The sequence below is a fragment of the Homo sapiens genome, chromosome 17, assembly GCF_000001405.40.
Source record: "Homo sapiens chromosome 17, GRCh38.p14 Primary Assembly".
Lineage (NCBI taxonomy): Eukaryota > Metazoa > Chordata > Mammalia > Primates > Hominidae > Homo > Homo sapiens.
In genome coordinates this window covers 9426465-9453116 of record NC_000017.11, presented here as the reverse complement: position 1 = coordinate 9453116, position 26652 = coordinate 9426465, and the positions used below count along the sequence as shown (strand labels likewise).

The 26652-nt window shown below is 41.6% G+C and overlaps 1 protein-coding gene across 4 annotated transcripts in view; it reads left to right on the top strand.

Moving 5' to 3' along the window:
- Positions 1-26652, top strand: part of STX8 (syntaxin 8) — a 325350-nt gene that overhangs the window by 122704 nt on the left and 175994 nt on the right. The window contains exon 7 of one of the 4 annotated variants that reach the window (XR_934120.3): positions 15230-15320. The exons of the other annotated variants lie outside the window; for them this stretch is intronic. The gene's annotated coding sequence lies outside the window, so the exon portion shown is untranslated. The remainder of the gene's footprint in view (positions 1-15229; positions 15321-26652) is intronic. 4 annotated transcript variants of the gene reach the window in all.

Below are 26652 nucleotides of genomic sequence, written 5' to 3'. Positions count from 1 at the left end.
AGGCCCATCCTGGCCAGGCGCGGTGGCTCACGCCTGTAATCCCAGCACTTTGGGAGGCCGAGGCGGGCAGATCAGTTGAGGTCAGGAGTTCAAGACCAGCTTGGCCAACATGATGAAACCCCGTCTCTACTAAAAATACAAAAATTAGCTGGGCGTGGTGGTGGGCACCTGTAATCCCAGCTACTGGGGAGGTTGAGGCAAGAGAATAGCTTGAACCCGGGAGGCAGGGTTGCAGTGAGCCGAGATCACGCCACTGCACTATAGCACTGCAGCCTGGCAACAGAGCGAGACTCTGTCTAAAAAGAAAAAAAAACAAGGGCCATCCTACTGGGATACTTTGTTATCCAACTTCCCAAGTAGATTTTTAATCTTAAAATCATCAACAACCAAGGCAGTGTAGAAGTTTATACATTGAGAACACCCGTCATGTGACAACCTTTCAAGGGTTTCAGGTGCTCGCCTACACCTGAGAACCCCTAGCTGTTCTGCTTTGTCACACCGAGAGCCAAAGCTACTGCCAGGCTGGGGGACCATTTGCCCCAAGTGTTCATTTGGCTTCTGCGGCATCGGGTTCAGCACCATCCCAAAGCTGGGCACTTCCTACCACCTACCTGAACCTTTCAGAGTGGCAGTGTGTTGTAGAGGACTAATTCCTTCTCACAGGCTGTATCATAGTTGAGTAAGAACTAGTGTTCGGAAATAGAAACACACATTTAACTTCTAGTTGAGCAAAGATTTTTTTTTTTCTATTTTTGGTAACTAATTTCATTAAAGATAGAAGAGATTTTTCTCTCATCCCACCTTTCTCCGATGTCAATTTTCTTTCTCATAAGTGCTCTTGTGTTTGAAAGCAGGGAAAATAAAGCTAATTGTTTCAGGTATTTTTAGATAAGAGATGGGCTCCACCAAGAAGCTGTCAGGTACTTGGAGTGTCCAGGGTGAAAACATGATCAGAAAAAAAAAAGTCAAAGAAGTTACTAAATTAAGTTATAGTTACTAAGTAACTAGAGTTTGAGTCATATCTCAGGTCATAATGGTGAAATTGTCATTGGAATGTATGTCATAGTTACACATTATTATTTGACTCCAGTAGGACAATTCATGCACTTTATATTAAGAGAGATTGCAATAAATCCTTCCATGTTTTAACTGAAACCATCAAGGTAATTTAATTGGATTAAGAGAAAAACATAAATCAGATGCAGCTCAAATTAAACCAAATAAGAAAGAGGAAGCAAAATATCAAACTCAAATTTTCTAAGCAGTGAAACTTTTGTTCCGTTTTCTAAGAATTCATGGTGTCCATCTCTCTCTCTCTCTCTCTCTGTATATATGTATATTTTTGTGTATATATGAATATATTTAAATTGCACATTTGTTTATGAAGTATTCAAAAATAATCATTTTTGGAAAAATCTAGCAACTTGGGTATTTTTCTATTTTTCTTTAAATATTCATTTTTTATTGAAAGGAGAACTTAGAGATGGGTTTATTTATAAAGTTATAAAAATAATTTGGACATATATATCATAGGAGTTAAATTATATCTCTTGGAATAGGAACTTTTACTGAATGCAAAGTATATAATATTTTCACTTCATTAGACACCACGAACCCTAGCAGGGGTCATAGCTACATCAGAGGTACCATTTTATTTAGAAAAATTTTAAAAACTATGGTTTCCAAAGGGAATTAGTGCTTACTTTGGAAAGTTACATTAAACGTGGAGATGATGCCTTGTGTAAGTTCTCGAACTGAGATGTCTGTCGCCGTAGATCACACACTTAGTAACAAAGTGTGACATGGAAAGATGAGACGAAATGGCATTGACTTATGGGATCCTGTTTTTTCTCCACAGAGAGATACATATATGTGGAATCAAGTTCTGACCACTCCAAGTCTAGCTTGAAGAAGTTGTTAATGGGATTATGGTGTGGATTAGATCTGGAAAAAGTGAATAATTCCCAAGATAAATGCTGGAAGGGAGGGACGGTATAAACAAAGGAGATAATTTTAACATATATGCCAGAAGATTTGAGGGCTTAAGTTTGTGTAAGCACCATTGCTTTAAGATAGAGTGAGGAAGTGATATAAGTAAGGCTGTCTTATTCATTTTTGTGTTCCTGGTACTGAGCGCAGGGCCCAGAACACAGTCCATGCTTGGCAAATCTTTTTTGTGTTACTGGACAAAAAGGCAGGACCTCTTATGGAGGAAGGCTGCAAAAGAGGCCTTGTTTCAGGATGTCATTTGGACTTCCTGCATTGCTGGTTAAGAGCAGGTATGTCTACAAAATACTGAGAATACCACCGAGAAATAAAATTCCTTCTTAAGAAATACTGCTGTGTGAATGGGGAGAAAAGTGCTGACTTGAAATTGATCAATGAGTCCTACCTTGCCAGATTATCATGCTGGTCTTTGCTAGAATGGCAGAATTAATTAGATTTTTATAAAATAAAACAAATCATCAATTTATATTATAGCTAGATAAAAATGTGCCTATGAACATCGGTAAAAATTAGAGGAAGTCAGGCGCAGCTGCATGCTTCGCAGCTACTAGGGAGGCTGAGGCTGGAGGATCGTTTGAGGCTAGTCTGAGTAAGATAGGGAGATTCTATCTCTAACACACACACATCCGTATATATGGGTCTTGGAGAATTTGAAGGAATGTCTATCATTACAGCATTATTATTTTTTACTACCTTTTTTAGTGTGAGGTTTATTTAGTTAAATTTACATGTAAGGTCAGGCGTGGTGGCTCACACCTGTAATCCCAGCACTTTGGGAGGCCGAGGCGGGCAGATTACTTGAGGTCAGGAGTTTGAGACCAGCCTGGCCAACATGGTGAAACCCCATCTCTACTAAAAATACAAAAATTAGCCGGGCGTGGTGGCGCATACCTGTTTTCCCAGCTACTAGGGAGGCTGAGGCAGAATCACTTGAGCCTGGGAGGCAGAGGTTGCTGTAAGCCAAGATCGCACCACTGCACTCTAGCCTGGATGACAGAGCGAGACTCCATCTCAAAAAAAAAGTTACATGTAGCAAATTTCATCTTTTTTTTATGAACAATTTAATGAGTTTTGATATATATACTTGAGATATAAAACAAGTCCATCACCTTCAAAGGTTCTTTCATTCTCCTTTATTTATTTTTTAATTAATTTTTGAGACGGGGCCTCACTATGTTTCCCAGGCTGGCCTCAAACTCCTGGGCTCAAGAGATTCTCCAGCCTCAGCCTCCCAAGTTACTGGGACTACAGGTGTGTGCCACCTGTGCTTGGCTCATTCAACCCCTTTACAGGTAGACCCTCTTCTCACTCCCAGCCCCTGGGCATCACTGATTTGTTTGCTGTCCCTCAAGTTTTGCCTTTTCCAAAATGGAATATAAATAGAATTGTGAAGTTTGTAGCTTTTTGTATCTGGCTGCTTTCACTAAGCATAATGCATTTAAGATTTATTCACATTGTTGCATACATCCGTAGTTTGTGCCTTTTTATTGTGGTGGAATAGCTTATTGTCTAGCTGTACCACAATTTGTTTGTTTGTTTATTTATTTTTGAGACGGAGTCTCGCTCTGTCGCCCAGGCTGGAGTGCAGTGGCTCCATCTCGGCTCACTGCAGGCTCCGTCCCCCGGGGTTCACGCCATTCTCCTGCCTCAGCCGCCCGAGTAGCTGGGACTACAGGCGCCCGCCGCCATGTCCGGCTAATTTTTTGTATTTTTAGTGGAGACGGGGTTTCGCCGTGTAAGCCAGGGTGGTCTCGATCTCCTGACCTCGTGATCCGCTCGCCTTGGCCTCCCAAAGTGCTGGGATTATAGGTGTGAGCCACCGCACCCGGCAATTTGTTTGTTTATTTACCAGTGGAAGGACATTGAGTTGTTTTCAGTTTGTGGCAGTTTTGACTAAAGCCACTACAGATGGGTATGTTTGGATTTTTGTGTGAACAATTGTTTTTATTTCTCTTGGGTAATCCTGCCTAGGAGTAGGATTGCTGGTTTGTATAAGCATATGTTTAGTTTTCTAAGAAACTGATCAACTGTTTCTAAGGTGGCTGGATTATTTGCATTTCCATCAGTGGTGTATGAGAGTTTCAGTTGCACCTTATTCTTGTCAGCACTTGGTATTGTCATTTTAGAAATTTTTTTAATCTATGTATCTTTTTAAAAAAGATTGCAGTAATATATATTTTTTTAATAATGTAGAGAACTGACCCTTACCTTTCAAAAGCAAAAACATCTGTCTTTCTCTGAGAAGCAAAAATTTTGTATTAAGGTCATTTCTGAAAATAATTAGAGTCAGTCCTCATTCATTTGTGGCGCTCATGTTCTGTAAAGTCACCGTGAACACCAAGTTAGTGCATACTGAACCACTGTTCTTAGGGGAAATACAGCGTTAGGGTCCCTCAAGCTCATAGCATTTTCATCAACCAATTAATGAAACCCTGCTTCTAAGTGTTTCTGTTAAGGACATATTATTTTATATACATAGATAGGTATAGATAGATAGTGGGTTAACATTGAACTCCTGGGCAACAGCTTGAATGAAACTTACCGAATACATGTATTTTCTCCGTAACGCACATTGCAGCCTTCTTGTGCTTAGGAACGCCAAACGGCACTTTAGCAGTACACTTGGGGCCATTTTAAACGGCAGAATCACAACAAGCAACAACAGAAATGTGAAAGACTAAACACACCGCCGAAAGGACACTTGTTTGCAGTATGTGGAGCTGAAACGAGAAGGCAGGGCGTTGCCTTGCTCAGCCTCAGTTAGGAGTGTGCGGGTTGGGCGACTCAGACTTTTTGCCTCTCTGTGCATGTTCACGAATGACTCTGAAAGTTCCTCAAATATTGTCTTGGGGGTTACAAATAAGTTTTAGCAAGTAGGCAAATTCATAAATATGCAATCCATGAATAATGAGGATCAAACTTTTTTTTTTTTTTTGAGATGGAGTCTCATTCTGTTGCCCAGGCTGGAGTGCAATGGCACAATCTCGGCTCACTGCAACCTCTGCCTCCTGGGTTCAAACAGTTCTCCTGTCTCAGCCTTCCAAGTAGCTGGGACTACAGGCGCACACCGCCATGCCCAGCTAATTTTTGTATTTTTAGTAGAGACAGTTTGATGATGCTGGCCAAGCTGGTCTTGAACTCCTGACCTCGTGATCTGCCTGCCTCGGCCTCCCAAAGTGCTGGGATTACAGGCTTAAGCCACCGCACCTGGCCAACCATATTCTTATATTTTAGAAAATGCATAAACTTAGTTCAGTTGAAATGATCTGTAATGATTTGGTTTAATGCCAAACATCATTCAATTTTTTTATTCCAATAAATTGATGAGAACATTAATTTGCCAAACCAGGACCATTTGGTATGAAGATTGCTTTAAAAACTTCTCAAGGCCGGGTGTGGTGGCTCACGCCTGTAATCCCAGCACTTTGGGAGACTGAGGCTGGTGGATCACTTGAGGTCAGGAGTTCGAGACCAGCCTGGCCATCATGATGAAACCCCATCTCTACTAAAAATACAGAAATTAGCTGGGTATGGTGGCAGGTGCCTGTAATCCCAGCTACTGGGGCGGCTGAAGCAGAAGAATTGCTTGAACTCGGGAGGCCGAGGTTGCAGTGAGCTGAGATTGCGTCACTGCACTGCAGCCTGGGCAACAGAGCAAGACTCTGTCTCAAAAAAGAAAAAACAAAAGAACAACTCCTCAAAATCTTCCTAAGATTTTATCCCCAGGCAAATGCAAAGACATGTTCTTGATTTTATATTAAAAACTCTTGTGCACCATTCTAACGTATTGTGCACACACTTCATTCTTGTAATTTAAAATGTTGAACTCTGAAGTTTTGTCATAGTAATAGCTAAAGGGTATGTGTTTAAATTCAGGAACAGATTAACGCACTTACCAAACCTCCATTGCTTAAAAGTAATTATAAGTTTTCTAGATTGACTGCCAATATAATATAGGCCCCAAAGAAATCACCCCTCTTTACTGAGACAGAACAATAAATTGGTTTTCCTGAATACGGTGGGTAAAGAATCCAAGTTCTTGACCTTGAATATTTCACTGATCGTATTCTATGCAGTAGGGAACAATCAGGATGACATTTGCTGAAATGTTTGAGATTTATAACATAATAGCTTGAGCATATGTGCCAAAAAATAGAAATCTTAAATCCTATCAAATCAAGATTAATTACCTATTAAAATACTAACAAATAGTGCAATACAGGTGGCATAATAAGCTGTCTCTCTTCATACATTGTTACAAAACAAACTGTTTTGGCAGTGACATGAAACATCACGGATCTTCTGTCTCACTCTCAGTGGGAAAACGGAAAAAAACTGCTACTCAGTCATTCTTGGTGTGGATTTTGGCATTTCATTAGGAAGTGCTATCTCAAACCTTTTCACTGAAAAGCACATGCAACTCTCTGGAAACTGCTATATTTCCTGGCTTTGTACTACTGCCAAAAAAACTGTTGCTTCTCCTCATCATTAACTACTACTTATTTATTCCTTTCTATCTTTGTGGATAGTAACCCGTGTAGCACTCCCGTGAAAAGGAAAACAGTAGTTTGCTTCCTCCTCCTCACCAGCCTTGAAGAAATTAATCCCCTGGGCTAAATTTCTTCTTTATATTCAGCTTTCACTTCACACTAATAGTTTCAACTGTGGACGTGGTGGTAATAGCAGAAATGGTGCAGTTATGTTTGTATTTCTTCATTAAAATAATTTTCGAAAGTTGTGGGAAAATGCTCATGAAATTTTATCATTAAATCTGAGCTAGAATAATAAAGCACAGTGTTGCTAAGTTGGCTTCCAATGAATAGTCAGTCAGCAAATATTTAGTGAGGATCTACTATGTGCCAGGCATTCTTCTAGGCTTTAGTGACACCATGGTGAATAAAATAGTCCCTGGCCCCCATGTAATTATTCTGTTTTCTTGTGCTAAATGTCTTTGTTTAAAATATTTTTTAAGGAGGCCACGCACAGTGGCTCACGCCTGTAATCCCAGCACTTTGGGAGGCTGAGGAGGGCAGATCACAAGGCCAGGAGATCGAGACCATCCTGGCTAACATGGTGAAACCCCGTCTCTACTAAAAATACAAAAAAATCAGCCGGGCGTGGTGGCAGGCGCCTGTAGTCCCAGCTACTCGGGAGGCCGAGTCGGGAATGGCGTGAACCCGGGAGGCAGAGCTTGCAGTGAGCTGAGATCACACCACTGCACTCCAGCCTGGGAGACAGAGCAAGACTCTGTCTCAAAAAAAAAAAAAAAGAGAAAAAAAGAAAAAAATGTATATTCTTTAAGGAAAGATGATAGAAAAGATGTGCAAAAAAACTGCTATTGAAAAAGTAGTGTGCTTAATGTATCTTCATGGTTTAAAAAGTGGGTAATAGTTTGGAAGTGGGTCTTTTATGGTTTGAAAAGCATGCAGAATCTTGGAAAATTTAATGACTCAAACTTATAAAACACGGTACCTGCTTGATCTGTTATTCCGATTTACAACTTAGGTACCAGTTTTCTTAAGTAAATATGCCTTCCCCGCTTGCGTGGTGTTTTAAAGCTCTTCATTCCGTGAGCCCTCACCCCCACCCCCCAACCCCCTCCCCCACCATCCCCCCCTCCCCGGCCACCACTCTTCGCATTCTAAAAGAAACCCAGGGGCATGCCATTCTTCTTTCTGAGACCCTGGACTGTCTACCTCTGAGTGGTGTTAACAAGCTGTACCTTTTCATTTGTTTTTTACCAAACAAACTCTTTAGCAGTGACATGAAATATCATGTCTCTTCTTTCTCACTCGCAGTGGGAAAAGGAAAAAAGAAATGTTCCTTGGTCGTTCTCTTTGTGGATTTTGGCATTTCATTGGAGTGCCAATAGGTATTCATTTTTTATGTTGCTCTGGAAAGCTGTAAGCAGCCTTCAAAGTCACAAAGCAAACTCAGTCCCTAACGGTTCTCCAAACTTAGGTCAGAAAGGTGGGGAACTTTATTTTTCTGGGCAGAGAGTGCATGAATAATACACTTGCAACCTGCTCAGCTTCCCTAAGTTCTCTTTAGCTAGCTTCTCCACTCGAACTACACATCAATCTGTCACCAGTGGTCAGCAGCTCAGCAGAGAGCCAGTGTTATTGTGAACCTACGGTGGAATGACTTGCTTCCCAGCTGGTGATCAATCTGTGTTAGACGGCAACATGTTTGCTTCTACAAATGAGCTGGACCCCTCTGTAACATATCTCTGCCAACTTTTGAAAGAAAGAGTCTGTTTCAATTCTTTTCCGGGGTAAAGACAAAAAGCCTGTCTCCCTTTGCACAACCAGCTATTGAACAATCCGTGCAAATATTTACAGCCAGTATCCTAAAGAAATTGTTTTCAGAGGTCAGGAAGTTGCACTAAAAAAAGGAAGAAAAAATACATGTTTGTGTGCATACATAGAAGATAAATATATTTTGCTTTTCTTTAGTAAAGATGATGTGCTCATGGATGCACCATCTCTGGAGACTTCTCCCTTATATATAAAAAGATCTTGAGGTTTAGGACTTTAGCTGACTTCTCCAAGCTCAAGATGAAATTAACATTGTGTTACTGCTATGGAAAATGCTACACAACTTTAACTGAGGTTTATTATTATTAATTAAGGAAGGACCAGATCTAAACTGGAAATAATTCCACCAAATCAGCGCTAGTCAGGACACACATGATTTGTCGTACTGATTGTGAACTTTCTTAAGATTCACTAGGGCAGAGAGGGGCAGGATAATCCAGAAACCAAGGGCTAGCAGATGCGCTTTGCGTTGTTAGAGCTGAAGAAGTAATTAAGAGAAGAACAGACAGGGAGGGGTGGCTCATGCCTGTAATCCCAATGCTTTGGGAGGCCAAAGTGGGAGGACCGCTCGAGGCAGGAGTTTGAGACCAGCCTGGGACAACATAGCAAGACTCTGTCTCTATAAAGGAGAGAGAGAGAGAAAGAGAGAAGAATGTGCGAAAGTGTGTGTGAATAAAGAATGGGATGAGGACTGGTGGACAGGAAATAGAAGTGTGAGGGAGGTCTTTGTGTCAAACTAGGTATGATACAGTGCTATGGTATGTTCTGGATAGGTATGAATGAACACGATGACAGAAATCATTCGTCGTGTCACATGATGACACAGGAAGTTATTCATGAAAAGGGCCAGGCAAAGTGGAAAACTTTGAGGAAGGGCCAAAAAGGAAGGGTGTATATTGGGTATTTGGTAATAAGAGCTGATGGTCCGCCTTGCCTGTGATCATGTCAGCCCACCAGACAAACAGCTTCTGTTTAGTTGTCATTTAGTAGAGAAATACAAAGGAACATTGGAATGTTTTGCACCTATGGTAGGTGGGGTTCCTCATTTCTCCTTAGAGAAGAGTAGGGGTTCCAGACCCACAGAGGAGCCAGTAGAAATAATATAAATGAGTTAGGAAGAAGAGAACTCTGGAAAAGGAGGGTTGGAAATTACCTTGGCCTCAGATTATTGCACAGTTGGACAATGACTGTGGTTCTGTGGCTCAAGGGAGTGGCTCTGTGTGGCTCTATGGCTCAAGGGGAATGGCTCTGTGGCTCGGGGGAGCCCTAGAAGGGATTTCTTTGTTAAGAAGCAGTTATTAGGTGAGCTTAGTGGTACCCTCCAATATCATACCACATGAACTCGCAACAGACTGTCCCACATTGCTTAATTTAAATTTCCTTGGGGATGCGGACTGTGTGTGGTCTATCTTTGTGCTCTCCCTTACATATAGTAGGTACATTGTAGATGCTTAATGAATGAGTGACTCTAGTTCTGTTCTGGGAAAGAGAAAAGAGTTGAAGGCCCTATGGCTGCTTTCAGTAGTTGATTTAATCATTCAGCTCCAAACGTGAAGATTAGCAACTCCTAAGAATAGTGGTGGTTGCCCTTTTGGATATATGATCCTCCACATTCCCAAGCCTGTGTTTGAAGGTAACCTGCAAGGAGGACACATTACAGAAGGGCATGATTATCTTCTTTGATGTTAACTGCCATGATGACTAGTATCTTCCAAACATCTGAGCAACTCTCCATAGCACCCTGTAGCCCCTTTATCTATGAGATTATCTTAGTTCAATCTATAACCAGAATGTCTCCACATTTCATCAGCTTTTGACTATAAATGCATTACGTTGATGCCTCTGAGGCCATATTAACATTATCATCCATACCTGACTGACTCCCCTCTCTAAATGTTTTAATGAGTCCCAAGAGGATATCTCACACGTTCTTAGGAGTCTGGCTGCTAATAATATACCACACCACTGCTACTCATCTATACCACCTGGAGACAATGCTTGCCCCTCAGTGCTGTAATTTGGGACCTCCACTATTCACTTCTTTTGCTCCAAGGTGACCACTAAAGTTTCAATAAAGAAGATACAGGCCGGGCACAGTGGCTTGTTCCTGTAATCCCAGCGCTTTGGGAGGTCGAGTTGGGCAAATCCCATGAGGTCAGGAGTTTGAGACCAGCCTGGCCAACATGGTGAAACCCCGTCTCTACAAAAAATACAAAAAATTAGCCAGGCGTGGTGGCACATGCCTATAATCCCAGCTACTTGAGAGGCTGAGGCAGGAGAATCACTGGAACCCAGGAGGCGGAGGTTGCGGTGAGCTGAGATCACTGAGACTGCAACACTGCACTCCAGCCTGGGTGACAGAGTGAGACTCCATCTTAAAAGAAAGAAACTATGGCTTGGGAGTAATGTAGATGATGGATAGGAGCGGGGTTGGGATGGTAGACAGGGAAACCAGTCAGGAGGTGGCTTGAAGTAGTTCAGTCATGACATGATGTTGGCCTAGACTGGAGTGGTTAGGATGAGAAGATAGGGAGAGAAGTGGATGGATGGAGGGGAGGTTTTAAAAGTAGTAGGACCAGTGATTGATTGGGTTCTGCCTCAGGCAGCTGCATAGATGACAATGGCCTTGACTGCCATAGGGCACACAGGAAGAAAAACGTGTGTGGCGGTAAAGTGAGAAGACACTGAGTTCGAAGACACGTGGGGTGCTCTCAGCTTAGGTGTGTCAGAAATAGTATGCTGCTTTTGAATCTGGAGCTCAGGGGAGACCTATAAACTGGAATTTTAGATCTGAGAGTCAGCCTGTGGATGGTAATCAAAGCCATGGTGCCAGGCGCGGTATGTAATCCCAGCACTTTGGGAGGCCGAGGTGGGCGGATCACGAGGTCAGGAGATTGAGACCATCCTGGCTAACACGGTGAAACCCCGTCTCTACTAAAAATACAAAAAATTAGCCGGGCGTGGTGGTGGGCGCCTGTAGTCCCAGCTACTTGGGAGGCTGAGGCAGGAGAATGGTGTGAACCCGGGAGGCGGAGCTTGCCGTGAGCTGAGATCGCGCCACTGCACTCCAGCCTTGGCACAGAGCGAGACTCCGTCTCAAAAAAAAAAAAAAAAAAAAAAGCCATGGTGCTGAGCATAGATGGAGAAGAGCTCAGCGTCTTAGGGCAGCGCCTTGGGGAGCCCCATTATTTACAGGAAGGGTGTTGTGAAGTAGCAGTCAGAAAAGAATGAGGACGATCAGGAGTGTGATTAACAAGGTCAAAGGATATAAGGATATTTGACTCAGTTTCTTTTTTTTTTTTTTTTAGATGGAGTCTCGCTCTGTGCCAGGTTGGAGTGCAGTGGTGCAACATCGGCTCACTGCCACCTCTGCCTCCTGGGTTCAAGTGATTCTCCAGCCTCAGCCTCCCAAGTAGCTGGGACTACAGGTGCATGCCACCACACACGGCTAATTTTTGTATTTTTAGTAGAGACAGGGTTTCATCATGTTGGCCAGGATGGTTTTGATCTCCCAACCTCGTGATCCGCCCGCCTTGGCCTCCCAAAGTGCTGGGATTACAGGTGTGAGCCACCGTGCCCAGCCGTATTTGACTAAATTTCTAAAGGTCCTGTCTCATTTTAATCTTTTTGCATTATGTTGTATTCATCTTAGCATTTGCCCCTTCATACTCAGGATTAGTAATTATTTGAGTACATCTTCACGCCTCTCATTTGGCCTGAGTTTGAAATGTTAACTCCAGTTTGGAGGTGATGAAGGAAGCATGTGAGAAAGGATGAGGCACAGGAGTGGAGTCAACCCCTGGGAGCTGGAGATGGAGAGGAGGCCAGCCATGGTGAAGCGAAGGAGGAGTGGGTGATAGCTTTGGGGAAACTGAAATGCTTGTAGGATATGGAGCCGGCATTTCAAGTGTTGGGAAATTACTGAAGACTGTTCAAAATGACAGTAACTGTGGTTTAAAAAAAAATCAGGCTGGATGCGGTGGCTCACGCCTGTAATCCCAGCACTTTGGGAGGCCGAGGCGGGTGGATCACCTTAGGTCAGGAGTTTGAGACCAGCCTGGCCAACATGGCAAAACCCTGTCTCTACTAAAAATACAAAAATTAGCTGAGCGTGGTGGTCCACGCCTGCAATCCCAGCTACTCAGGAGGCTGAGGTGGGAGAATCGCTTGAACCCAGGAGGCGGAGGTTGCAGTGAGCCGAGATCGCACCACTGCACTCCACCCTGGGTGACAGAGCGAGACTCCGTCTCAAAAAAAAAAAAAAAAATCATTGATTCACTATGATTGTATTGGGCAATAATGTGAAACATCATGGACGTCATTGACCAATGGAGATAACTGCAGTAAATTGGGGGTGAAGTGTTAACTAAGATGGTGACAATGAGAATGAAAAGCAGGGGACACATTTGAGAGGGATTATAAAGGAGGAATCGGCAGGTTTGGGGGATGGATCTGAAGGGAAATCCAAGTGGAAGGGATGAATCAGAGAGGATTCCCAGCCTTTGAGCACATATAACTAGGTAGGTAATGGTACTAATAACAAATCTCCAAATTTTAGAGTTAGGAAATATGTTTCAAATCATCCGATTCCATGTTTCTTAAATAGGCTGTAAGGGAGTATCCAGATTGGAAACCATTATAGAAATAATTGTCAACTCTTCTTTATGACTTCCTTCCTTTTGCCCTTTTCCCAGTGGTATTTTCCATGGTTCTGGAAATGACCTACTTTATGCCACCACTATATTTAGGCTGCAAATTTCCCCTGTCCATCCTGACCAAGGTTTGAACAATCCCATGTGGAGAGGAACTTAATTGCAGAATACCCTTTGCCATGCGTCTTTTTATTTTCCCTATATGCCGGGGGTACTTTTGGGGTGAGAATTGAAAAGGAAAAAATGGTAATGTGTGGGAATGTGTTCCAGCTCCAGACTTCCTCCTCACCCCACCAGGAAGCAGTATTGATGGTGCTTTCCTGATTAAAAAATTGCAAAATTTGGCCAGGTGCAGTGGCTCACTCACGCCTGTAATCCCAGCACTTTGAGAGGCCGAGGCAGGCAGATCACAAGGTCAGCAGATTGAGACCATCCTGGCCAACATGGTGAAACCCCATCTCTACTAAAAAGACAAAAATTAGCTGGGCATGGTGGCACGCACCTGTAGTCCCAGCTGCTCGGGAGGCTGAGGCAGGAGAATCACTTGAACCTGGGAGGCAGAGGTTGCAGTGAGCCAAGATCACACCACCGCAAAAAAAAAAAAAAAATTATATGGCAGTAAGTACAGTAGTGATCATAACAATTAGTTATTATAGTGTGGAGAAGATATGACTATTGAAGATATAAGTAAATTTTGCAAACTGATATCAATTTTTTAATTGTTTACAAATGTCCAGCCACATTGTATGCTGCTACATTAAAATAAGTGTTTTGTTAGGCATTGGTCTTCACCAAAACAAATGCTATGTTCAAATCATGAGAAATAATGGTCTTGCTCTGCTCAGTACTGTTAAAAATTCATCTGTTTTGTTTGATTCAGTTATGCATGCTGCATTAATGAACTGGAATACCTTATCTAGAATTGGGACCAGGCCCAGGTGAAACCAGCAAATGATATCATGTGAAGTGCCAGAGTATAGAGCTAGGATCAGCAAGCTATGGTTTATCCCGTTTTTGTACAGGTCATGAGCCAAGAATGGCATTTATATTTTTAAATGGTTGAAAAAAAATCAAAAGCTATTTTGTGACACATGAAAATTATATGAAATCCAAACCTTAGTGTCCATAAAACTTTTTGTAAAAGCAAAACAAACAAAAACCAGCCATGTTTGTTTGACTATGGTTTTTTTTGTTGTTGTTTTTTGTTTTTTTGAGATGGAGTCTCGCTCTGTCACCTAGGCTGGAGTGCAGTGGCGTGATCTCAGCTCACTGCAAGCTCCGCCTCCCGGGTTCATGCTGTTCTCCTGCCTCAGCCTCCTGAGTAGCTGGGACTACAGGCGCCACCACCACCGCCCGGCTAATTTTTTGTATTTTTAATAGAGACGGGGGTTTCACCGTGTTAGCCAGGATGGTCTCGATCTCCTGACCTTGTGATCCACCTGCCTCGGCCTCCCAAAGTGCTGGGATTACAGACGTGAGCCACCACGCCCGGCTGTTTGACTGTGTGTTATGTATGGTTGCTTTTGCACCGCAACAGCAGTTTTGAGTAGTTGCAACAGAGACGTATGGCCTACAAAACCTAAAATATTTACCACCTGGCCCATTGCAGAAAATGTTTACCAACCACTGGTCTAAAGCCGTGTTTCCCAAACCTTAGTGTGCCAATGAATTACCTGGGGATCTTGTTAAAAGACAGATACTGGTTCAGGAGGGCCAAGGTGGGACCTGAGAGTCAGCACTTCTGACCAGCTCTCAGACGATGCCAGAGTTGCTGGTCCTTGGCGCACACTTGCATTTATACGATATTTAAGAGGTGGGTGGGGGAGGGGGGTAGTGTGTTGTAGAGGAGAGATGATCAAATGTTTTACAGTAGAAATGGCCTTTTTTTTTTTTTTTTTTTGAGATGGAGTCTCACTCTCACCCAGGCTGGAGTACAGTGGCACAATCTCGGCTCACTGCAACCTCCGCCTCCCGGGTTCAAGCAATTCTTCTGCCTCAGCCTTCTGAGTAGCTGGGACAACAGGTGTGTGCCACCATGCCTGGCTAATTTTTTGTATTTTTAGAGTTGGGGTTTCACCATGTTGGCCAGGCTGGTCTCAAACTCCTGACCTCGTGATCTGCCCACCTCGGCCTCCCAAAGTACTGGGATTACAGGCATGAGCCCACCGCACCCAGCGAGAAATGGGCTTTTTATACCTTATTTCAAAGGCCAGAATAAGTACCAGTTGATTCCAGCTCTGCTTTTTACCTTAGGAAGAACTTTCTAATGATTGAAATTCATCATGGAATCACTGCAATGGCCGCAAACAGAGGCGTCTAAGAGACTGGGAAAGTGGCCGGCCTGGTGAGATCTCCAGCTTAATTTCTTTGACTGACAAAGAAAAGGCAAAGTGAGAGTATGAATTAGCAAGCCAGACACTGAATTGCTTATAGATATAAGGCCTAGCCTAGCAGGGACAGTATTAATTGAACTAATCTCTTAAATGGCACAACTGCTGGTTTACGTTTGTACCAGGAATAAGTAACTATTGAGGCCTAACATGAAATCAACTCATAAAGAGTAAATGTGTAGCTGTAGGTTTATAATTTAATTTGTACTGACTGAAAAAGCTACAGTTGTCAGACGTCTGCAATTTCATTTTTTCACTCATGAGCCAGTTAAAAGATAATCCCTGCCATTGTTACTCTTCGCTTGTGTCCATTTCATGCACATCCCCTCCCTGAAAGCTGTTGTATCAGCCTTATGAATGGATGTATATTTGTAGGTGGATCTTCCAGCTGCAAGTCATTGTAGCCCTGACGAGTGAATCCTCTTGTTAATGGCTCCTTTAAGCAGTACTTTTGGTGGGGAAAGAAAAGAGAGAAAGAAACTAGCCATTTTGAGCAAGCCAATCAATGTTGGAGACCAGAGCGCATTTAGACAGATGATCGAGTAATGGAATATTTAAGCAACGCGATATTTGCTATTGATGAATACTTTTAAAACCATAAACCTCATTAAATTAATAGTACAACTGTCTGCTCAAAATTCAGTGAGTGCTTATAGTCGTGGTTTCATTGTATTTCTCCACTTTGAACGCTTTTCATTTCAGCTTGTCACAGGCTTTTAAAGGCATGATTTATGCTTCATAATACCCTAAGGAGGTTAAGTATTTTCATATTTATTGCACAGAAGAGTATTTTGTGATTGCTTGCCTGTCCTAAAATCAGCTTGGCTGGAAAAGGACCTAAGAATTCTGACCTCAGCTCTGTATCCAAACCAGGAGTCAGCGTTTGAAAAATGTGAGTCAATATCTTGCCCAGAGAGTTTGTTTCATTCCACTAACCTGGGGCAAGAACAGATGGTGGGAGGCAGCAGACAAACAATGCTGCTTTTTATTTTGTAAATCTGCCTAGATCCCTACATCCCAGAGCTGGGCCACATTGATACAGGCCAAACATCTTTCAGCTCTTTCAGATGTTTTCAGCCAGCTCTTTCAGATGTTTTCAGCCAGCTCTTCATCATCCACCATGTTATGTTGATCGTGGTCGTAATTGTTATCCTGAATGATTAAAACCCAAGTAGGTCAAAGTGTCTGTGATCTGTCCGAAGCGTGTTGGCCATCTTACCCTCACCAGTATTTTTGTGTATTGATATTTTTCAAAATCAGAATCATTTTAGATGCCCAGAGACCCTAGTGTACTTTCCCCATTCTACGTGCCCACTTCTGACTTGCCTTTCATGGAGTCTTTGGGTTTATTATGGTTATCTCTCTTTTGGCAAGTCAAAGGTAGGGTACTTTTTTTTTTTTTTTGCGATGGAGGCTTGCTCTGTTGCGCCCAAGCTGGAGCGCAGTGGCACGATCTCAACTCACTGCAAGCTCCGCCTCCCGGGTTCATGCCATTCTCCTGCCTCAGCCCCCCAAGTAGCTGGGACTACAGGCGCCCGTCACCACTCCCAGCTATTTTTTTTTTTTTTGTATTTTTAGTAGAGACGGGGTTTCACCGTGTTAGTCAGGATGGTCTCGATCACCTGACCTCGTGAGCCACGGCGCCCAGCCAAGGTGGGGTACATTTTAAGAAAAACATTTCAGGACCCACGTATGTTGTTTCATTCATTTAGCTAGATGGATTATATCCCTTTTGGCTGTAGCTTGCCTGAGAACCAGTGGCTTGATTCCCACAGTCAGACTGTAACGGATTCCTTCCCTGCAGAGTCTGTTTTTCTCTCATCCCTCCATATACCACTCTTTTGTTTTTAAAATTTTTTAAATTGACAAAAATTATTATTAGGTAAAATATATTGTTTGAAATATATATACATTGTAGAATGAATAAATGGAGATAGTTAACATATATGTTACCTCATATACTTAAACCTTTGAAAATACTGTTCTTGTGACACGATTTGATGCTCAAAAAACTCTGGTTGTTTTCTTATTATCTAAAGGATGAAGTTAAAATTCCTTAGGCTGTTACTAAAGGCCCTCTTTAATCGAACGCTCGTTTTCTTCTACTCCATGTAAGTTTCCTCTATTTCAATTCCACATATATCTTCTATTTACCTATTATGGTTCTAGGTGCTCTTTAAGCAGTGGGTATAAAGCCTTATGTTTTTAATTTGTCTGGGGAAACAGGGCATGTTTTCACAATCCAGATAAGTAACGATGAAAGTCAGCATGCATATCGTTAAGCAGAAACTGACGTATATGGGTGAACATCACTTGAATCCTGGACTCTTCAGGGTTCTGTCTTTGGGTCTCTCTCACTCTGCATGCTCTTATTGGGGTCCTCTCCTGTTCATAATGGCTAATGCTTATCCTAATCTCCTGTGCTCTAGCCTTTTTTAGATGTTAACGTTTCAATCTGTACTTTTCTACATTCCTAGATCCATATTTCCAACTTTACTCAGCATCTTCACCTGAACGGTCCTTCAAATGCAACATGTCTAAAACACGGCTCAGTATCTTTCCCCACAAACCTGTTCCATTCCTTTTGTTCTTTATCTTGGTTATTAGTGTCACCCTCCAACTTATTTTCAAGGTTATGAGGTAGGAGATCAGCAGGACTTGTTTTCTGAGCACCAGTCACAACCCACTGATTGGAGAAAGATGTGGTCAAAACAGGGCGTGCAGTGAAGAAGCCAGCTGAAACCAGCAAATGGTGATGAAAGTGACCTCCAGTTGCCCTCACTGCTCATTAACATAAAGGCACTCCCAGCAGTGCCATGGCAGTTTACAAATGCCGTGGCAACATGCCATGGGAATGACCTGAAAGTTATCTTCTATGCATCTAGAAATGCCCCACCCCTTTTCTAAAAGGTCTAAATAACCCACCTCTTCATTTGCATGCAACTAAAAGTAGATATAAATACAGCTAGCCAACAGCCCATATGCTGCTGCTCTGGACACACTGCCTATGAGTTAGCCCTGCTCTACAAGGAACAGTACCTCTGCTGCACACTGCCGCTCACCTCTGGCTCACCCTTGAATTCTTTCCTGGGTGAAGCCAAGAACCCTCCCAGGCTAAGCCTGCCTGCCCTATATCAGTTAGACATCTGCAGCCAGTCACTGAATTCAGTTGATTTCACCTCTGAAACTGTCTCTCACATTTTTCTTCCCACCTCTGCTGCCTTAATTTGCTTTGATCCCAGACCCTGTCTTCTCTGCCTTGGAACTATGGCTATACCTAGCTGGGTTTCCTGCCACAAGTCCTTTAGTGTTCCACTCTGTCTTCCCCTCTGCTAACGCAATTAGTTTCTTAAAAACAAATCTGATTGTGTTGTTTTCATGCTAAAATCCTCTAGTGGCTTCTTGTCACATTGAGGATGAAATAGCAACTTTAAGATCCTGACATACTGGCTGGGCGCAGTGGCTCACGCCTGTAATCCCAGCACTTTGGGAGGCTGAGGCCGGCGGATCACGAGGTCCAGAGATCGAGACCCTCCTGGCTAATATGGTGAAACCCTGTCTGTACTAAAAATACAAAAAATTAGCCGGGCATGGTAGCACCTGTCTGTAATCCCAGCTACTCAGGAGGCTGAGGCAGGAGAATTGCTTGAACCTGGGAGGCGGAGGTTGCAGTGAGCCGAGATTGCGCCAGTGCACTCCAGCCTAGGCGATAGAGTGAGCCTCCGTCTCAAAAAAAAAAGATCCTGACATACTAAAGCCCGTTTTACCCCCTAGGCAGCATCATCTCTTCTGTAGCTGCACTGACTACAGCAATCCATCTCACCACTCCTTACCTTCTTCTGTGCTGTTCTCCTTGCTTATGATGCTCAAGAAGAGCATCTTTCTTACCTAAAAGACACACACAACCGTAGTTCAAATATCATCTTCCCCATTAAACTCTTCCTCACTTTCCTAGGAAGAGTTGGCCCATTTCTCTGGGTCCTCACAATACTCTGTGGAGCAGCTAGAGTTTTCACTCTTTTGGATTCCCACCCTCCCTTCCCCCGTTTTAATATCTGTGACCCCCTGAAGTACTCTGTGTATTCCTTAAGAGAAGGGGCCACATTTTTTCCCATTCTTTTTTCCCCCACATACAAAAAATGGTAATATTTAATGCCTACAACATGATGAGTTTGGAGATAGGTGTACATCCATGAAACCATCATCACAATCTATGGAGGAGGAACTTCTTATCTCCAGTAGGGCCAATAGGTAGTTTTTGACTGAATGAAAGAATGAATGGATGCTTTTCATGAGTGATATTGTGGGCCGAAGAGATTGAGAAAAGCTTATAGTGATGAAGGATCTTTGATTTCATCCCAAACCACTAATTGAGCATCTGTGCAATGCAAGTGCTCACGACAAAGCTATGAAGTGGAAATTACTATTTCCGTTTTGCTGATTTTGAAACTAAAGACTTGGGTTATTTGGTTAAGACCGTCTAGCTCATCATAAGTGAAGGAGACGTGATTTGAACCCACACTGGCCTGGGGTCCAGGCGTATGCCTTGTCTTCCACATCAAAACGCTAGTGTCAAAGAATAAATCTTAGGAGTGCATTATGACGATGGTGATTTTGAGATTATAAAGCATTTGGGAGCTCACAAAGGAAGCCTGTGGTTTTGTAGAGGACTAGAACTATTTTCACAACTGGTTTCCCTGACTGCATCCATATCTGTGTGGCCTTAATATTGTTTGACTCACAAAGGAAACTTGTTGATCCAGAGTGAACCAGTTCAACTTTCTTCTCCTCAATCTCAAGAGTATTCCATGGAGGAAAATGTTCTAAACTGCACCTGAGCTATAAACAATTTACTCTGAAGGTAACAGTGTTAGTATTCCAGTACGTAAACCTTTAGCTAATAACAATCAAAGTAGCCTAATTTGGAAAGTACACAGAAGGTTAGAGGGAAAGCTTGTAAATGTTTTCAAAGACTCTGTATTTAATTCTATCACCAGCTAGCAAAATAAATAGGCCAGCTGCTAGCTCTGAAACAGACACGTGGTGGAAATGAAATGTTAATAGTTGAAATGCCTTGCTCATTCGAAACCAAAAGGAACATGAAGTACACTTTCTAGTTTATGAGAGACAAGGTGAAAGTTCCCAAAACACATTTGTGGTGACTGCATTTAAAATTGCTTCCTCATCTTTTATTTTAGTGGCTAATACTTTAGTGTGGCCTATGTGTGACTAGAGGGCATTTTTTTTTTCTTCCGATTTAGATGGAAGGTTTGGAAATAAATGGAGAGTGGAAATCGGGAGATGTTAAATTCTACTTTTCCATGTGTCTAAGTTGTTTGCTCTAGTTTGTAAGCTGCAGGCCAGACTTTTCTGAGGAATGGGAGGTTACTTTCAATAATGTGCTAAGATTGACCTGAGATATTTAGCCAGCACATCTGCTTGCAAGCTCTGGCCGTATGTGAGGAGCTTATACTGGAATTAATTAACTCTGTTTGGTATTCTGAAATGTTTGCTCCACATCTTGTTTTACCATCACAAAACTTACAAAATCAATTGGAACTTTTTTATTTTTACTTAAGAACTTAAAAAAAAAAGCCAGGTGAAAAAGAGAATCTGAAAAGCAGTTGTTTTCCTGCTTGAAGCAAACTTTCAAGAACGAGCATTAGAATCAGAATTTATTTTTTCAAATACTTCTTTTTAACTTAAAATGATGGTGAAGTGTAACTCTTTCATCCATTACATTAATGCCATTTTTGAAATGTTTGATTTTATTAGAAAACAAGGAGATTGAAGTGAGAGGGGTATCCTGTATGCTGAGATAGTCACAGCATTACAAAATGTTTTATGAACCAAAATGTTGTCCTAGGAACACTCTGACTTCAGAAAGGAAAAGGAAGGGAGGTTTCTGGGAAAGCTCTGCAAGCATAGCCTTGACCTGTATTTGGAGACAGTACAGCACTCGTGGTCTTAACACCATGATGTTAATGTCAGAACGTTTGGCACTATGTTGTTGCTAACCTGCTGTTCTTAAACAAGTGAGCCTTACCTTGTTACTTTTCTCAGTTAGTAAAATTGGGAAGAGGACTACCTTCTAGAATTCAGCCACAGCACCAGTGTCATGACTGTGTTCTCTCTTCCTTTAAACCTGCTGCCCTTGGCCAGCCGCGGTGGCTCACGCCTGTAATCCCAGCACTTTCAGAGGCCGAGGCAGGTGGATCACAAGGTCAAGAGATCGAGACCATCCTGGCCAACATGGTGAAACCCCATCTCTACTAAAAAACAAAAAAACAAAAAAAACAAAACAACAACAACAACAACAACAAAAACCCTGCTACCCAATGAGATGCTCAGCAACTCATAATTTATTAAAAAATGAGCCAAAGGCCAGGCGCAGTGGCTCACACCTGTAATCCCAGCACTTTGGGAGGCCGAGGCAGGTGGATCACGAGGTCAGGAGATCGAGACCATCCTGGCCAACATGGTGATACCCCATCTCTACTAAAAAAAAAAACAGAAAAATAAAACAACAACAACAAAAATGCTACTACCCAATGAGATGCTCAGCAACTCATGGTTTATTAAAAAACAAGCCAAAGGCTGGGCGCAGTGGCTTACACCTGTAATCCCAGCACTTTGGGAGACCAAGGCAGGTGGATCACGAGGTCAGGAGATGGAGACCATCCTGGCCAACATGGTGAAACCCCATCTCTACTAAAAAAAAACCAAAACAACAACAACAAAAAAACCCCTGCTACCCAATGAGATGCTCAGCAACTCATGATTTATTAAAAAACAAGCCAAAGGCCGGGGGCAGTGGCTCACGCCTGTAATCCCAGCACTTTGGGAGGCCGAGGCGGGTGGATCACGAGGTCAGGAGATTGAGACCATCCTGGCTAACATGGTGAAATCCCGTCTCTACTAAAAATACAAAAAATTAGCCAGGCATGGTGGCGGTCGCCTGTAGTCCCAGCTACTTGGGAGGTTGAGGCAGGAGAATCACTTGAGCCTGGGAGGCAGAGGTTGCAGTGAGCCAAGATCACGCCACTGCACTCCATCCTGGGCAACAGAGCGAGACTCTGTCTCAAAAAAAAAAAAAAAAAAGCCAAAACCACTGAGCCCAACTGTCCGTCAACAGATGAATGTGTAAACAAGTTGTAGTATGTACTTAAAATGGTCTATTATTCAGCCATAAAAAGAATGAAGTTTTGATATATGCGATTACATATATGAACCTGGAAGACATTCAGTGAAATAAGCCAGATACAAAAAGACAAATATTGTATGATTTCACTTATATGGAATATCTAGGATAGGCAAATTCACAGAGAAAGAAAGTAGATTAGAGGTTACCGAGGCTAGGGGCAGGGGGAAATGGGGAATTATTACATAATGGTTAGAGTTGCTGTTTGAGATAATTTTAAAGTTTTGGAAATAGATAAGTGGTGGTGGTTATACCACACTGTTAGTGTAATTAATGCCACAGAATTATATACTTTAAAATGGCAAATTGTTTTATATATAATATATATTTTATTTATATATAAATTATATATAATTTATATTTTATTTATATATAAATTATATATATTTTATATTTTATATATAAATTATATATATTTTATATTTATATTTATTTATATATAAAATATATATATTATATAGAATATATATATTATATAGAATATATATATTATATAGAATATATATATTCTATAGAATATATTATATATAATATATAATATATAATATATATATTATATATAATATATTCTATATAATATATAATATATATATTATATATAATATATTCTATATAATATATATTATATATATTATATATAATATATAATATATTATATATAATATATTCTATATAATATATAATATATATAATATATATTATATATTATATATAATATATATAATATATAATATATAAAATATATATGTTATATATAATATATAAAATATATATGTTATATATAATATATAAAATATAATATATATAATATATAATATAATATAAAATATATAATATATATTTTTTTGAGATGGAGTCTTGCACTGTCGCCCAGGCTGGAGTGCAGTGACGCGATCTCAGCTCACTGCAAGCTCCGCCTCCTGGGTTCACGCCATTCTCCTGCCTCAGCCTCCCGAGTAGCTGGGACTACAGGTGCCCGCCACCACGCCCGGCTAATTTTTTGTACCTTTAGTAGAGATGGGGTTTCACCGTGTTAGCCAGGATGGTCTTGATCTCCTGACCTCATGATCCGCCTGCCTAGGCCTCCCAAAGTGCTGGGATTACAGGTGTGTGAGCCACCGTGCCTGGCCTATTTACATATATTTATATATTTATAATATATAAATATATGTTATATATAAATATTTATTATATATTATATATAAATATATGTATATAAAATATATAATAAAAATATATAAATAATGTATTTATATATTTTATATATAATATATAAAACAAAATGTGCCATTTTGCCATTTTAGATATATATATCTCAAAACAATTTTAAAAAATTAATAGTATAACATTCCAAAAACTATGTAATTATACAGTTTAAATGGGTAAATTTGTGGCAGGTGAATTATGTCTCAATAAAACTGTTTTAAAAACCCCACTGAGTATATAGTAAGGGATTGGGATGTTCTGGTTAACTGAATCTTCTGGGTAATTAAGGATTAATATGTTTGCACTGAAACTGACCAAGTCAAAGGTACCCTTTCATGAAATATGGGGCTATGAACTTGAAAAACATGTTTTGTGCCTCATTGGTTGCATTTTCTTTCAATTATGTGTCTCTAGAAATATGACACTTTGCTATCAACAGAGCCTCTGAATAGACCGGTGTTGTCCACTATAGTAGCCACAGGCCACTTGTAGCTATTGAGCTCTTATAATGTGGCTAGTCTGAATTAAGATGTACTGTAAGTACAAGGTAACACTGAACTTGGAAGATATGGTGCCAGAAAAAAAGATTCAAAATATCTTGCCAATAATTTCTATATTGATTACATACTGAAATGGTAATATTTGGCTATATTGGGTTAAATAAAATATGCCATTGTTCCTTTTTACTTTTTCATAATTACAGACATGGTTCACATTACATTTCTATCAGACAGGGCTTGTCCAGAAATCAGACTGATCCACTCAGGGTGAACACACCTCAAGAGAGATTAAGAATCATTTCTTTGCCGGACGGGGTGGCTTACGCCTGTAATCCCAGCACTTTGGGAGGCCAAGGCGGGTGGATCACAAGGTCAGGAGATCAAGACCATCCTGGCTAACACGGTGAAACCCCGTCTCTACTAAAAATACAAAAAATTAGCCGGGCGTGGTGGCGGGTACCTGTAGTCCCAGCTACTCGGGAGGCTGAGGCAGGAGAATGGCATGAACCCGGGAGGCGGAGCTTGCAGTGAGCCGAGATCGCGCCACTGCCCACCAGGCTGGAGACAGAGTGAGACTCCATCTCAAAACAAAACAAAACAAAACAAAAGTCATTTCTGGTGACTAAGTAGAATACAAAAGACTTGCCTGAATTGTCATGGATGTCAAGAGAATTTACCTCTCACAGGATGACTACCCCCTGTTCTCTGATTCAGAGTTTTTAGAAATGGGAGACTTGGAAAGGGCCTTCTCTAACCAGGTGAGAACTCTGAGGAGTCAGCAGCCACTGGTCCTAGGAGTGCAGTTCTGTGTGCTACAGCCCTTGGGTCCATAGCACGAGTCAGCTCAACTGAAAAGCAGAGGAATGATGTCAGTATATCCTGGAGGTTAGATTGATCCAGAAGCAGTTTTTCTTTGGCCAGAGGAGCAGGAATTGCCGGAGTAGAGTTACAGCCTTCAGCAAGAAAGGAAAGAACCTCACAGGCAGCAGACACGCTTTTCAACTCTATTTTAAGAAAATTAAAAATGAGTGCCTGCACCCAGCGCTTTCTCTCCAGGACAGGCACCCGCTAGCCTTCTAGGACTCTGGGCTCCCAGCAGGCATCTTCCCTCTGTGTCCACCTTAACATAGCTCCTGGCTCAGAACTCCACTCTGTCTGTGAGCCAACAGTTGCCACTCTGTCATTTGTGTGTTTAATATCCCTCGAGGCAGCCGCAGCCACAGCCAAGCTGCTTGCCTAGGCTGTCCAAGTCATCTCCCTAGGTATTAATTATTCTTTTGGTTAGTGCTCTGGTTACAGAGTTACAGAGGGATTTAGTGGTCTACCCCAACAGCCTTTTTCATCCCGTTATTTTTCAAGTGTGATTTTGTAGGATGTGAGATTTTTCAGGAATGTATATATCACATTATAGCAGAAATACCGACATGGATTTTTGTCCTGCTCCTTCAACACACAAGTCTCAGGATGCCCAGGTGACTGCCTGCCACACTGGGGAGGCGTGTTCCTGGCATCACACAGCAGACTCGGGTTCAGACTGTTGTGCATAGTGATCAGGTGTGGCTGGATCAAGACTGCTACTCCTGTGACATGGTGTGATAGATCTCATGGGCCACCTGGGAACGGGTCTGCCACATATACAACGTTATTTCTATGGGAACATGTATTTGGGCATCCTTGAGTTCTGAACAACTAAGCCACGAATACACTTTTGGAATTCATTCTCTTTGCAAATTGGGGAATACCCAGAAGCCTCTAGATAGCAACTCTCTTACTTCCAACCGAGCAAATAGGAAATGTGAACTTTGGGAAGCTGAAAGTAGTTATAAAAATCACAGAAATTCAAAGGTAATTAGTGGTAAAATGGGAATTTCAGACTATCTTTCTATCTCTTAACTAGTAAGAGATACACTGGTAATACTAGGTAATATAAGTTATATCTAGTAAGAGATAGACTGGTAATACTAGGTGTGTCTCTTACAAGATATAACTTATATTGAATTATTTTGTTTGCTCAGTGTAAAACCTCTGAAAATCTTCAGAGGATAAATTTTACCACCATCATTCTTTATTTTACTTTATTTTTTGAGACAGTCTCGCACTGTCACCCAGGCTGGAGTGCAGTGGTTCAACCATAAGGTCACTGCAGCCTCTACCTCCCAGGCTCAAGCGATCCTCCCACCTCAGCCTCCTGAGTAGCTAAGACCACAGGCATGTGCCACCATGCCTGGCTAATTTTTTAAATTTTTACTAGAGACAAGGTCTCACTGTGTTGCCCAGGCAGGTCTTTAGTTTTTAGTTTTATTTATTTATTGTTTTCAAGATGGAGTTTTGCTTTGTGACCCAGGCTGGAGTGCAGTGGCACGATCTTGGCTCACTGCA